The 15,675-nt window shown below is 43.0% G+C and overlaps 1 protein-coding gene across 14 annotated transcripts in view; it reads right to left on the reverse strand.

The window, feature by feature from the left end:
* Positions 1–10,222: 10,222 nt before the first annotated feature.
* TIAM1 (TIAM Rac1 associated GEF 1) overlaps positions 10,223–15,675 on the reverse strand; it is a 440,670-nt gene continuing 435,217 nt past the window's right edge. For all 14 annotated transcript variants that reach the window (NM_001353690.1, NM_003253.3, NM_001353688.1 and 11 more), the window contains one exon: positions 10,223–12,642. In NM_001353690.1, the coding sequence (NP_001340619.1) occupies positions 12,173–12,642 (470 nt within the window). In that variant the 3' untranslated portion in view covers positions 10,223–12,172. The remainder of the gene's footprint in view (positions 12,643–15,675) is intronic.

The following is a 15,675-nucleotide window of genomic DNA, read 5'->3' on the forward strand; positions in this document are numbered from 1 at the left end:
AATGGACTAATACAATTAATAAAACATTTCAGAGTCATTTCAGAATCTAACCAATGACTTGGACTTTTCCAGCTTGAGATGCCAGCTTTCCTCTTGCCTCCCCAAGACAATTTTATTTTTGCCATGTCAAAATTTCTTAAACATAGTATCTACCAAGGTACAATAGGAACATTTCCTTGTAGAAAGCATGACCATTTCTTAACTTATAAAAACAAGCTCCATGGCAGAGAGGGATCCCCTCTGAGGCCCCACCACATGGCAGTGGCAGCCTGGGATCCCACTCCCGGGATTAGTGATATTGCTGGAGTCTGTAGATCTGAAACATAAGAATTATCCTGGACAAGCTGTCTTCATAAGAGAGCTCTTAATAAATAAAAATCAGACCAACTTTTCTGGGCTATTACAGAAAAATGAGCAAAAGAAAATAACAACTGAAGGGTAGCAAATATAACACCTCAAAATTTGACACTTTGGCATAAGGAACCTTTCTTTTCTTTTTTATTTTATTTTATTTTTTTTTGAGACCAAATCTTGCTCTGTTGCCCAGGCTGGAGTGCAGTGGCACAATCTCGCCTCACTGCAACCTCCGCCTCCCAGGTTCAAGCGATTCTCCTGCCTTAGCCTCCTAAGTAGCTGGGATTACAGGCATGCACCATCACGTCTGGCTAATTTTTGTATTTTTAGTAGAGACGGGGTTTTCCCATGTTGGTCAGGCTGGTCACGAACTCCTGACCTCAAGTGATCTGCTCGCCTTGGCTTCCCAAAATGCTGAGATTACAGGCGTGAGCCACTGTGCCCGGCCGACATAAGGATTCTTCTGAGATGAAGGCAATTGAGAAGAAGCAGATAGGAGAAAAGCTCTCTGCCCTTCCCCTATTTGCCTAAAAGCAAAACAGATTTACATCAGGGTCCCTCCTCTCGTCTTTACCAAAAAGAGATGACTTTACAGCCTTATCAACCTGAAGATGGCACCAGAGGAATCCACATGACAAACTAGCCTTTATCCACCCTTAGTTTCCTTTCTGTTTATTTGCCTTCCCACAATTTGCCACCCCTAAAGACTGAAGGTCCTTTTCCTTGTCTTGTCACTTCTCTAAAGATGTACTGCTCTTTGTTAAAGGTACTATATACAGCAAAGTTCTCAGCCACCTCTTTGACAGTTACTCTTTCTCTGAGTTTTCTCCCATGTGTATATGAAATATACTTGTTAATCAGCTTCTGTTTGCTTTTAATAATCTGTCTTTTGTTACACAGATCCCAGTTAAAAACTAAGAAGGATAGAAAGAAAAATTATTTTCCTCTCACAGGCAATTACAAGTTTTAAAACTCAAATATAATTTTTTAAGAGAATTTCAAGATCAACTGCTTAAGAAAGAGCAGTATCAATAAAACTCTGGTAGAATTCTCAAGTGTGTTCCTTATAAAAATTGAGTGAATAATATAATTTTAAGTAAAACAAATTGTGTATGCCCTGAACAAGATTAAGAAAAATTAAAAAAAAATGAAACAGTTGATGGAATTTCATGTGTATTTGTACTATAGATTTTTTTCTGGTGTGCAGAGTTATAGGAGAAATCTGAAATTCAACCAGAAAAAAATATTTTAGTAAATTTTTCCTATCTTAGCTAAGATATAGATTATGGGTTTTAATTCTTTTTTAATTCCCAAACTGGGGTACTTCAGACTCAGCTATCTGAACATGAATTATTGAGTAATACAGCAGTGACACAGGGCTCACCCACAAATTGCTAGTTTGATTACAGCTTCCATATTTGCTTTAAAAATCAGGCCGGGCGCAGTGGCTCACCCCTGTAATTCCAGCACTTTGGGAGGCCGAGGCAGGCAGATCACGAGGTCAGGAGTTCGAGACCATCCTGGCCAACATAGTGAAACCCCGTCCCTACTAAAAATACAAAAATTAGCCAGGCATGGTGGCATCACCTGTAGTCCCAGCTACTTGGGAGGCTGAGGCAGGAGAATCGCTTGAACCTGGGAAGCGGAGGTTGCGGTGAGCCGAGACGGTGCCACTGCACTCCAGCCTGGGCAACAGAGTGAGACTCCGTCTCAAAAAAAAAAAACAAAAAAAAAAACCAGTACAAAAATTGAACACACTTTCAAGGTAGCTTTTCCATTATTTAAAATTCAATATGAAAATGTTTATTTTTATTCTAATCACTTAGATCACTTTTAAGTCTAGATTAACTTTTATATATTTAACAGGGCGGTGAATAACTTTACAAGTGGATACAAAACTGTAATTAGAATAAAGGCATTTTCCAGCTTGTTCTCTACAAATGCCAATTTTCACTTGATTTGTCAAAACCAGAGCTAGAAGCTTCCAAAGCGAACTTGGCACCATCTCATCATCTCAGAACACTGAGAACATTGAGGCCCTGCAGCTTTGTCGATGTGGGCTGCGGGAGGGAGAGAGAGACACAGCAGGTGGTGACCACTAATTGGTCACAATGATAAAGTAGGTATTATTATCCCCACTGCAGAGGTGCAGAAAGAGACACAGAAGCATTGGTGTTTTGCCCAGGTTCACACAGCTGGTCAACAGAAATGTCAAGGTTCAAGCACACAGGGGGCCCACCCCAAAGCCCATGCACTTCCTCTCCATTCAGACGCCCTGTTCTCAATACAGAGGGGAAGAGTGAGAAAGCCTGGACTGCCCTCGACAATAACTCTGACTTCTCTGTAAAAATTTCCAATTTCTTCTCAGAAACTCCCTAAGATAATTTTGAAAATATATTCCTTCTGACAGCTAAATGTCATAATAAATGTTTTTATTACCAATTTAAGTAGTTTCAAAGGATGCTATGTCTGGCTATGGTAGATTACTGCAGTAATGGTCCCTAAGGAGTCACACTTCCCTGGATCCATGACCCTGGAGAGTTCCTTCCCAACTGGACACACGGCTTGCTTTTGCCAAGGGTTATGAAAAGGTGAATCAGGAAGAAGCCTGAAAATCACTTGTGTTCTGGGGCTTGCTCCTGCTACTCTTTGGAACCTGCAGTCACCATGTAAGGAAGCCTATGCTAGTCTACCGGTGGAAGAGAGACCACGTGAAGCTCTCCTGGCTGAGGTTCCTAGACCAAGCAGCCTTCCAACTGACACATACGTGAGGCCACAGGGTGTGAGAACATGCAGCCCCAGCTGAGCTGAACCGCCAGCTGACCACGGAGCTCCACCAACCCAGCCAAGTCCAGAACTACCCAGCTAAACCCCCAGATTCATGAACAGCATAAGTGCTTGTTGTATTAAGCCACTAAGCCTTAGGGTGCTTTTGTTACCTAGCAATTGATACACTTACATATTATAAAATTTGATATTTTCAAATAAAACTATTATGTCAGTTTTAATGTATCCAGTGTATCCAAAATCCCAAATCAATTTAATGCTCATCATCCATTCAAAGGATACATTTAAAAACTCAAAAATTTCACATCATTCCTTTTTTCTTTTAGCCCCATTTTCTAATATCCTATTATATCCTATTACCCTATCAAACTTCTCTAGAACAAAGATCTAGATAAATGTCTATGTTAAAAGTTTTGGCATTTCCTATGACCATAAAGCTCCAACTATTTTTTTAAAAAATCACTTATGGATTGTGTTATCACTGCAATTATTATTGGTAGACGATTGACCAATATAAAAATATATCAGCTAGGCACAGTGGCTCATGCCTGTGATCCCAGCACTTTGGGAGGCTAAGGTGGGAAAACTGCTTGAAGCCAGGAGTTCCAGACCAGCTTGGGCAACATACGGAGATCCTGTCTCTACAAAAAATGTAAAAATTAGCCCCAGGGGTCATGGCATGTGTCTGTAGTCTCAGCTGTTCAGGAGGCTGAGGTGGGAGGATCGCCTGAATCCGATTTGAGGCTGCAGTGAGCTATGATTGCGCTCTTGCACTCCAGCCTGGGTGACAGAGCAAGGCCCTGTCCCCCTCCACCGCCAAAAAAAAAAGTGTATGTATATATATATATATATTTTAGTAAAAGGTACCAAGGTTTATTTCAAGTGAATGACACTCCATCCCTACCTTGACTTTCTATCCATTCCCCAAACTAAACAACTCTGTTCCTGGAGCCATTACCACTTTCCCATCTGCTGGAGTTTATATATATATACACAGAGAGAGAGAGAGAGAGTTTATATATGGGTATATATATATATATATATATATATAGAGAGAGAGAGAGAGAGAGAGAGAGAGAGAGAGAGATACATAAAAATATCAAATATAAAGAGTAAAATTTCACTGGAAATAATCTCTTAAATGAAATGGATATTTTTATTTTTCAATTAGTTCATGTATCCAGTCAGTGGATCTTATTTTTAGCTAGACAGAGTTCTGCATCAATTCTATTTCTACTTTTCATTTTTGTAGATGCAAGCACAGAAAAGCCTTGTTTGAAGACTACTGGGAGTGAAAGAAGTTTAATTACGGCAGTTTTATGTGCCACTCAATTCTCTGACCTCTTGAATTATCTGCACCAAATCAGAGATATCATCTATAATTAATGATTTATCACCTGACGACTTGATTAGGTCCTTCTTCAAACTGATTAGGAGCAAATAATTAGAAACCACCTGGCTTACCGAAGGATTAGCTTCCTGGTCGGTGGTGTCATTTACTTTCCGAACACACCACTTCTCTGTGACCATTTGTTTGGTATCCCAGAGGTTCTTCCTCTAAGTACAATCCAGGACAGCTGAGAGGAGTCTCTTTTTTTAATAAAATGGGAGCAAGATGACTGTCAAAAGGGAGGGAGGGAAGAGAATGTGCAGTTTATCACAAGCACATTCCCAAGCAGATCAGTTTTAGGAAAGGGCATTTGACATTGAGTATCTAGATAAGGATTCCCCTTAAACCATCTGCACCCTTGAACCCTTGGAAAGTCACATTTTGGTTCAAGGATCATTGCTCTATTGGGTCTGATGCACCTTACTCCAGCTGGTGGCGAGAAACTCCCTGAGACTTGAAAGGTTAATACGAGACCTGCCAGTCATTGTCTGTTTCCCTAGTTTTCCACAAAAACACATCTTTTATGCAAGGGCTCTTAGTAAAAGGTATCAAGATTTGTTTCAAGTGAATGACACTCCGTCCCTACCTTGACTTTCTGTCCATTCCCCAAACTAAACAACTCTATTCCTGGAGCAATTACCACTTTCCCATCTCCTGGAGTTTAGGAGTGAATTGTAAGATTATGGTCACTTGAGACCTAGTCCTGTGACATCACTGGTCCAACTATTGAGTCTATTCAAACCTTAAAAAAAAAAAAGTCAATAAATCCTTATTCCTCAAAATGGCCATGTCTGTCATATAAAACTGATTTCATCAATATCATAAAAAACTCAACCTTCATTTAAATCTGGAGGCAAGACATCAGACAGCATGTATGAGGTAAGGGAATATTTAAAATCTCTGAAACTTTGAAGGGGAGTTCATGGATGCTCAACTCCTGTCACCAGAAACACCCAATACCCTAAAGACTAACAGTAAAACTGAGTGTGCCTGTAATCCCAGCACTCTGGGAGGTTGAGGCGGGTGGATCACGAGGTCAGGAGATCGAGACCATCCTGGCCAACATGGTGAAACCCTGTCTCTACAAAAAAATTAGCCGGGCGTGGTGGCACATGCCTGTAGTCCCAGCTACTCGGGAGGCTGAGGCAGGGGAATCGCTTGAACCTGGGTGGCAGCGGTTGCAGTGAGCCGAGATCGCCCCATTGCACTCCAGCCTGGCGACAGAGCGAGACTCCATCTCAAAACAAAACAAAAAACTGAGTGTGAACAGAGAAAGGAGGACAGGAGTGGGAGAAGTCCCAGCTCACCAAGCATATCCGGCCCAAATAATCGAAATACAAACTCAGGTGGAAAAGCCATTTCTGTGACAAAGTGGACACACTAGACAGGAAGTAGGATCTTGACATCTCACCAGAAGCCAAACAGGAATACAGCATCTTAGAATTTAGAAATGGCAATCAAGATCTTTAAAATGTATATAAATGTTCCCAAAGCTACCTCTTCAGTATTCCCTCAGGAAGCAACTGGACCAGTGCACAGAAATATCCAATATGGGTGTTCATCATGTTTTCTTAATAACAAAATAAAACCCCTGGAATCCTTCATGCCCATCAGCAGGGAATTGGTTATGTAAATTACGGTGAACTATGACTATTATGATGGATGTGGCCATGACTTACAGTGACGCAGACCTTTTTAGAATGTCAAGAAAATGTCTACAACTTGTATCATTAAGAGTAAAAATCAGGTTAACAAAACTGTATGTTAATAAAATATAAACTCACTTTTAAGTGTGTGTGTGCACACATGCACACCCCATGCATATATTCAACAAACCAATCAAGGACAATCAAATGTTACCATCTTGATTGAAAGTGAGGGGCCTATAATTAACCAACCATTAATGTCTAAAATACAAGGTAATGGCACCACGCGGAACACCCAAGCACAGAGTACAGCAGAACAGAACACAGGACATCCTGTAACCAAATCATTCTTGGGAACAGCCCAGGAAGCCCCAGGTGGTGTTCAAGACAAGAAACTAAGTATCGAAGTTAAAAACGATGAAGCTGGTGCCCAGAAAGCTGAAAGTAATCCCACTAGGGCCTCTTGGGCTAAAAAAATCTAACTTCGGCTTGACCTGGGTATGAAGTATGTTGAAGAACATGGAAAAAAAAATTCTGAAGGATTATGTGATTCCTGAATTTTTAAAAAAATATTAGGGACCCTGGATTTGGGTTTTTTAAAAAAGCGTCACACCTCCCCAACCTGAGGGTAGTTGACTGTACAGAAAGTGCAAGGTGTGCACACATAGTCTAAATCCCTTGTCATTTTTAATCCCAAGGGACTGCCTGTAATCACAGCACTTTGCGAGGCCAAGGCGGGTGGCTCACCTGAGGTCAGATGTTCGAGACCAGGCTGGCCAACGTGGTGAAACCCTGTCTCTACCAAAATATACAAAAATTAGCTGGGCAAGTGATCCTAGCTACTTGGGATGCTGAGGCACGGACAACTGCTTGAACCTGGGAGGCGGAGGTTGCAGTGAGCCGAGATCACACCACTGCACTCCAACCTGGGTGACAGAGTGAGAAGAAAGAGAGAGAGAGAGATAGACAGACAGAGAGAGAGAGAGAGAGAGAAATAAATCCCAAGTGACAACAGCAGAGGATCTACTGCACACAAGTTAGAAGCCGTCAGCCCAGTTCGACAGCAGTGACATGAAGATGTGCGTGACTCACATCTCACTCAGGAACACAGTCGAGGTGGTGGACTCAGTGACAGCAGAAATTGACTTACTGAAACAGTAGAATGTATGGGCTAAAGGTTGCTTCAAGATGTAGAAAGAATAGACCAGAATAAACTCCATTGTCGACGAATGAGGTTTTCTATGCAATGCATTCTATTGGTACATGGTGGAGGCGGAGAGGCATATGACAGGCAGAAGAATGGAAACAAGGTGATCCCAGGAACACGACCTGGGAGGGTTTCTACCCCTGCACTGTTCAGCAGGAGACAGTATCTTGCCAACAGCATCCATACTCCATGTGTTTACAGAAGCCTTACACATTCATGATTTGTGTTCTGAATACTCCTTTTTCCTTCTACCAACAATGACTTCCTTTAGAGAAGCCTAGGGGGATTGTGACACTGCCTTTTTTTTTTTTGAGATGGAGTTTTACTCTGTTGCCCAGGCTGGAGTGCAGTGCGGCACGGCAATCTCAGTTCACTGCAGCCCCACCTCCCGGGTTCAAGTGATTCTTCTGCCTCAGCCTCCCAAGTTGCTGGGATTACAGATGTGTGCCACCACGCCTGGCTAATTTTTGTATTTTTAGTAAAGGTGGGATTTCACCACATTGGCCAGGCTGATCTCGAACTCCTGACCTCAAGTGATCCACCCGCCTCGGCCCCCCAAAGTGCTGGGATTACAGGTGCGAGCCACAGCACCGGCCATGACACTGCAATTTTGATCTCACACATTCTCTACGTAAGTGGCTGAATATTTTGAGTATTTCTTTCTCTCCTTGTATTTTCATGACTTCCCCCCAACCTGCTCAACACCTCCCTTCTAAGGCAACTGTCACAGGGATTCCCTATCCCAGAATAGGTTTGCATCAAAAAGCAGAACTGCCTATAAAACTTGGGTATCAACAAAAAATTTGCAAAAAGACACAAGGTAAGGGCTCCCCACTGCAACCCAGCTTCACTGTCCTCATCCCCATAACCACACACACACAGAAAAGGCAATAGCCAGCAGGGCACGATGGCTCATGCCTGTAATCCCAGCACTTCGGGAGGCTGAGGTGGGTGGATCACGAGGTCAGGCATTCGAGACCAGCCTGACCAACATAGTGAAACCTTGTCTCTACTAAAAATACAAAAAAATTAGCCAGGCGTGGTGGCGGGCGACTATAATCCCATCTACTCGGGAGGCTGAGGCAGGAGAATCCCTTGAACCTGGGAGGCGGAGGTTGCAGTGAGCCGAGATCACGCCACTGCACTCCACCCTGGGTGACAGTGTGAGACTCCCTCTCAAAAAAAAAAAAAAAAAAAGGCAATAGCCCCTGGCTGGGGATACAGTCAGGAGAGCTCTGTGGAAGGGGAGGGACCAGAACTTGGGGGAGGCATCCTGGCAACGTCCCAGAGAGGAGACAGAACACCGGGGACCAGGCTGCAGAAGAATCCTGGGTGAGCAAAAGGATACACTAGAGAGCCCACCATCACGCGTGAAGGAGCTCGTGGATGGATGAGGACACTGGTCACTGCTACAGTTATCTTTGCAGAAGGAAGCACCCCGCCCCCAAACCTTAAGAACTGAAAGGGAGAGGAAAACTGAGGATGTTTTCTGCCAGCCTGGTGGGAGGGAGATGAGCCTGAAAATAAATGAAAACTAGTGGGGAAAGGCATGATTGTTCCTCTATAGTTGACTTTGAGCACTCATTTCCTCTGCACACACAGGCTCAGCTATTGGTGAGGAAAGCAGCCCAAACTGCTAAATCTCATTTACACCAGAGTACAAACTGCTGGAATAACTTCATGGAGCAGGTGTTAAAGCTGGCTTCAGTCATCCCCCAAGTCGGATGCACTGGCTACAGAGAGACATCTTGTGTCTTAAAGATGTACATATTGCTGCTGTAATGCCTGAATATATTTAAAATAAAGAGGAATGTGCTCCAAATCACTGCTCAACATCAGAATGTTTGGAGGCTACCAAACGAATGTGACTCAAACATGAACATGGATGAGTCATCAGAGGATCCTGTTAAGATGGAAGTTCTGGTTTAGTGCCTCTGGGTGGGGCCCAAGTTTCTGCATTTTTCTTTTCTGAGACAGGGTCTCTGTTTCCCAGGCGGGAGTGCAACAGTATGATCACAGTTCACTGCAAGCCTCAAATTCCTGAGCTCACCTCCCACCTCAGCCTCCTGAGTAGCTGGGACTAAAGGTGTGAACCACCACGACTAGCTAAGTATTTTATTTTTCGTAGAGATGGGGGTCTCACTATGTTGCCCAGGCTGGTCTCGAACTTCTAGCCTCAAGTGCTCCTCCTGCCTCCCAGTTTTCTGCACTTCCAACAAGCTCCCAGTGACACCGACGCTGCTGGTGTCAGGACCTCCACTGTGAGGAGCAAGTAGCTACACCACAGGGCTCCCCATGCGCCAGGGAGAGGCTCTTCTAGTGACAGGAGACAATCTTTTCACTGAGGGCAGGGATGGATGGGGTAACATTGATGGGTAAGGTTTGTAAGGGACTCGAGAGGCTCAGATCTGGGGACTCTGACAGGAAGAGAAAGGCAGCCCAAGACTGTATTTACCTTGTTTGGTGATTCTGTGAAAGACTCAGGCAGCAGGCCCCCGGTGATAAAATGTGGAGTGATTCAAGAGCTCAGTCAGGCCAGTCAGAGCTCTGCACTTCACCCCAATATTTTCACAGGAACCCCCCCAGCCTGCTCCCATCGGGATAGGCAGGAGACTGGAAAAGAAACAGTGCCCAGTAGGGGCAACGTTAGGTCAAGATGCCATGCAACTGTAATGCACCTTTTGTTGTTGTTAAAACTTCAAGCGCTACAACAGCGTTCTCCTGATGATCACGAGTTATTTCAATAAATGGCATTCCCAGGAATCTTCTCCCACGGCCGCTCTCCCGCCAACAATTCATACTCATCCTCCCATCCAAAAAGGCATAGAACCGCCCAGACACTTTTCGTTATTTTTATTGTTTGACAAGCATTTACAACGTTCCATTCATAGACCTAAAAACATAAAAATAGACCTTCTTTCAGCTTATAAAAGAAATATATAAGAACTTTTGACATAGACACGTCATGACCTTATGTACAAGAGACAATGGCACCCTCTCCAAGCACCAGACTTCCGAGTGTTTTCAGATGGATGTGTTGCACTGGAGCCAGTAAATGCGACGATTAGAAGCCTCTGCTTCCGTTTTCCATCTGGACGCGATCGAACCGGAGATGATATGGAAAAATGCAGTGATACAAAGGGTATAGAAACCATTCTAAAGCTTTTTCAGAAAACCAGAAGATATAGCAAAAATTTAATAGAATAAAACTTTCAAAAGATCAAGCTCGAAGCCCTGGAAACCCGAAAGGCGGGGGGAATACAGGGTGGGAACGCAGGAAAAGCAGGCAGAGGCACAAGAGCATGATGTACTGAACTCTCTATTGTCTGGAAATATAAAGTCATAACTGATTTTTATAAAATATAACTCCTAAAGCTACTATAAAATTCAGGTCTTTAAAGTACCTACTGATGTGTCAAACACCAAATAGATATTTTCCCCAAAAAGAAAGTTTTCATAGTATTTTAAACCCTTCTTAGGAAGTGGACATTGTGACATGGGAAAAGAAAAAGCTATAAACCTTTTTTTAAAAAAAAAAAAAAAATTGAAAGTGCTATAACTTGTTTTTCTTCTTAGTATTTGGATATCTGTTTAGACTGTTAATGTTTTGAGCATGTTTACCCTGTTTCGTTGGCATGAAGAAAGTGTTAAACACAAGAGAAGTTTTTAAAGAGGTTGTTCTGTTTAAAGGTTTGGTTATGGACTGTCAGGGAAGGGGAAGGTAATCTATGGATGAAGATGCAATTTTGATGGAAAAACCAATGATCACCATGGCAACCCCATGAGAAGGAGGCTCCCCTCCCTGCCATGTGCAACAGACACACACACCGCCCACCGGGGTGTCATGTTTAATCCAACCAAACTCCCATCTCAAATATAGATTCAAACATTAAAAAAAAAAAATCCGCTTTTTGGAAGAAAAGTATATCCTTCGCATGAGCTTGCTGGCCTTTCATATATAAATATAAAACCACCACGCCTCACTCTCTCTGTAAAAGGTTATATCCTCATTTTTTAGGCTCAGGGATACATACACTAACACTGTAAAATTCTCATCTATTTGTGCCCCTGTATCTCAGGTAAAATACAAAAAATAGTGTTTCTTTTCTTTCTCTCAAGCGATAAATTTGGATCTCTTTTCAAAGAGTTTGGCATCTCTATAATTCTATGCAAAACTAGAGCTTCCGAACATGGACACAGAGTAAGACCAGCCATAGACCAAAACAGGAAGGAAAAAAAAAAAGAGGCTCATTGAAACATGAATCGCCACCCTCTCCTCACACATTCTTAAAATACACGGAGATTCTCAGACATGGAAGAGGGAAGGGTACAGTCAGAACACGGCAAGCTGTACACATTTCATTTTGTGTGTGAAAGAGGTTTCCCCAGCTAGGAGACTGATTTCAGATAGAAGGATCGTGTGTGTGCTACTATCCCTTAAATTAATCTGTTGTACATCCGTTAACTCCTGGGGTGATTTGCTTTCCAGTGCTATAGAATCTTTTTTCTTTTAATTGTTCAGGCCCTGATTTATTGAGAATAAATAAAAGCCCTTAGTAATATACAGAAGATAGGACTCAAGCTTATTTGGGATTCTGATCAATTCTTTCTGATGTTGTTGAAAATGACAAAGTTGGGTGGCTACATGGCTTCAGAACCAAGTCAGCTGCCAAAACCGTGTGTGCAAGAGCGCGACCTAAGGGGACATTCTTGTCGACGGTACAGGAGGGTGGGCAGAGTTAGGGCAGGAAGTATCTACACACATTCTCTACGGGGCAGGTGACGCAGTCAGATCTCAGTGTTCAGTTTCCTGGAGGGGGCAAAGTCTTCACGCCTAACCCAAATGACTTCCTCGCTTGCGCTCTCCAGGCCTCCATTGATCCCCGACAGGGCAGCTTGCTTCTTGAGCTGTGCCATGCGGGACGCGTGACTATCCAGGGTTTTCCGGCCTCTTTCCCGCTGACTGATGGAGGTGGCCTGAAGCCGCTCCTGCAGGTCTCTGTCCACTGAGGCACCCTTCACGGACTCACAGAACTCATCATCGTCACTGAGGATGTCTGTCTCCTTGATGTCATCTTGCTCCTCATACTGAGCAAGATCAAACTGCTCCTCTACCCATCGGTCAGTGTCCCCACCACCGGGGGGCTGCTGGGACTCTTTCTCCGGGCTGCTTGCGGAGACGGCATCAGAATCAATGGTAAACCTGTTTCGAGCCAGCCGCCGCCTCCTCCTCCCAAGAGACTTGCTTGGGGCAGACACTGCACACACACACAAAAATATAAAAATAAAACCCCCACATGCTTTACGTGAGATGAAAATCCAGAAAGCAAAGGACAGGAGAAAATAAAAACCAAAACGGTATGCATTGAATGCCTTGATGTCTTTTGGGGCTTAAAGTCTACATATCACCAATCTGTCATGGAGCATTTACCTTGTCGAGGTATCTGGACTTAGAGGATGTTCTAGCAACTGATGCAAGGGCAAGGGGGAACCGGGGCACACAGGAGAGGTTGTAGGTTATGGGCAAAGGGGCACTCAACTCCCTCTGAAATAATCTACTGTTCTAGCCTGTGCACCTAAGAGATGGGTAACACAGACAGCAGCTGCTCTCAAGTAGACAGACCACTGATTTGGGGATCAGTTAGTGAGTTAGTGTCCTCAATCCTGGCCATGTCCCATGGCCCAGTGCTATGAAGATCCCCAGGGCTGTCCCAGGGTTGTTTAGCTGGAATAGGTCTTTAGTAAGGGTGGGGGTGCATCTATGGTTTTGCTGTCTTTGTAGAATGTGCATCAAGGAGGCAGAAGCACCAGTGTAAGTTACTTGTTTTCTGGGAACTGGAACATAACATTTCTTGGGATCTGCAGTTAGATTAAGGGCACCACGTCACTCTTAGAGAGCCTATGAAAAAGAGTGGCTCTCAAAGACATGGGATCTTCAGTTATTTCCCTGTCTTCTTTCTGACAAAGTCCCACATGAGCTAGGAAGCTAAGCAAATGTGTGCCTTAGTCTCCCCCAATTACAGTCTGTGTATCACTCATTCTTCTCCAAAGCAATTAACATATCAGTGCCTCATTGGAATGAGAAATAAAAAACCGATGACATCCAAGCAGTTTGATCAACAAAGTGCTGTATAAAGTGACTACCAGTTAAGAAAAATTCATTCTTTCACCTACTGCCCTCTAGGAAGCCAGAATTAAAAACAAGCAAACAAAAGACACCATCCGATCAAGCCAACAATCCCACCACACACATACACGAGACTGCTCACAGGGAAGGCTTCTGCTTCTCCCTCGAGAGTGAAGCGGTTGTTGCATTAGACACGAAAAGGTGAAATGCAACACGGGCTTTCCAGTGGAGGGGAAGAGTCTCAACGCCAACTGGGAGCTGCTTTCCTGAAACCTAAGCCCCAGAACCATCCAATTGCTTCAGTGCTGCTAGAAGATGCCTCGTGTCTCAATTACTGCCAAATGCAGCCTTGACTTCGAACCCAGCAGGCACAGGGTTAGAGTGGTCAACGAGGGGCTGAATTGGCTCTCATGGCAGCCATCCTCTGCTTCAGACCCCTGCGTGTCCATCACTATTCCTGAGTGTTCCGCCATCTAAAACTGTGGAACAAATGGACACTACTGTTGGTTGAGGATGGGAATAAAAGCCATTTCCAGGCAAAATGGAAAAAGGGAATAGAAAATAGGAAAAAAAACAAACAAACTCTGACTTCTATTGAGAAGAGACAAAAATTCTTGTTCACTTTTATCTCAGCACCAGCAAAATACAGCATCCCTCTCTCCAATCACCACATTAGAACTACCCCAACTCAAAGCTACTGGAAATATTTGTTAATGATTTGCATGCTGAAGTATCTAGGAGTAAAGTGTGTTAATGTCTACATCTTTGAAATATGTCAAAAATAAGATGAGGTGATGGATGACAGATGGATTCTAACAGATGAGTGATAATGAGAATATAGAAAAACATTATAGAATATAGATGGTAGGTATGAATTCTTTCAGCTCTTCTATAAGTTTAAACATTTTCATAAGAAAATAGATAGAACAAAGAAAAAAATTTTTAATTGGGTTATTGGCAAACGTATAGTACTTTAGGCTGAATATGGAAGCAGAGTATTTGGCTTTACTATCCTAGCCAAACAGAACAGAGGGAGAAATAAACTACCTGAGTATTCAAGACAAAGCAAAATGAAGCATGAGTATCTGTTCCTAGTATGCTTAAGAACCCGGCTACCATTATTGGGTTCTTCCCAGTCTTTCAGGGATGCAATCTTTGACTATTTCCAGTGGTCACTGTTAAGACTGACCAGCTATGCTGTGCTGATCTACTCAGGCACCATTTTAAAATCCTCTGACATGAAGATTCTGAGGATAGTGAGATGCCTCCAAACAAAGTGATACAGACTTTCTTCAGCCAAAAATGAGCCATCAGGCAGAAAGATCTTTCAATCAGCTAAATCCAACAGGCTATGACATCAAGGCTTTCTCTTGGTAATCATGACGGACGATGGTGTTAAATTGTGGGCTGGTTTTGTTTTCTTTCCAAATGGATCTCAGCAGGAAAACTTCTGAGTGACAGACTAACCATGCTTAGTTTCAAAGTAAATGCAGCTCTGAATTTAGGTTCATTGATTAACAACTGAAACAGGTTGAGTTCCCTGAGGTTGAGACACATATTCCCAAACCTTTTTAAACATTTCCCTAGCAAACAAGAGGGGCAGATAAGACAAATCCAAGATAAAAATCTCTAAAGTGAGTTATAAAGGACCAATAAACTATTCTTCCATGGCGACCCCATGCGAAACTGCGCATATGGACGTATGAAAGACTCTTAGGATACATCAGAAAACTCAGCAAAGTGCTGGGTGTTCACTGCACTAAGTTTTCAACAAACATTTATCAATTGATTGGAGAAGAGGTTTACAGTAACTAGTCCCCTAAATTAAATTTAAGGTGCTTGAAGAATGTAATATCCCATGTCAAGCCAGGTAGGTTTTGTCTATGAAAACCTTCAAGCATTCACACTTCTGTCCATCCCTCTTCAATAGGTAGGATGGTAATGGGTACAAAGGCCAGAAACTTTTCTGGCAAGTGCAAAGGGGGCCTTCTTTTAATGAAATCCTCCCTGCAAAATTCTGGGCTGCCTCTTAAGAAAGGTTTGATAAAAATGTTAGTATCTTGATGTCATTAAGTCCCTAAGTATTAAAACAGCCTTCTTCCTAGATACATTTTGCTACCATTGACAGGTGGCAGTATTTATTTTATTTCTCTATTGCTCCACT

Source organism: Homo sapiens, chromosome 21, assembly GCF_000001405.40.
Source record: "Homo sapiens chromosome 21, GRCh38.p14 Primary Assembly".
NCBI classification, from domain to species: domain Eukaryota; kingdom Metazoa; phylum Chordata; class Mammalia; order Primates; family Hominidae; genus Homo; species Homo sapiens.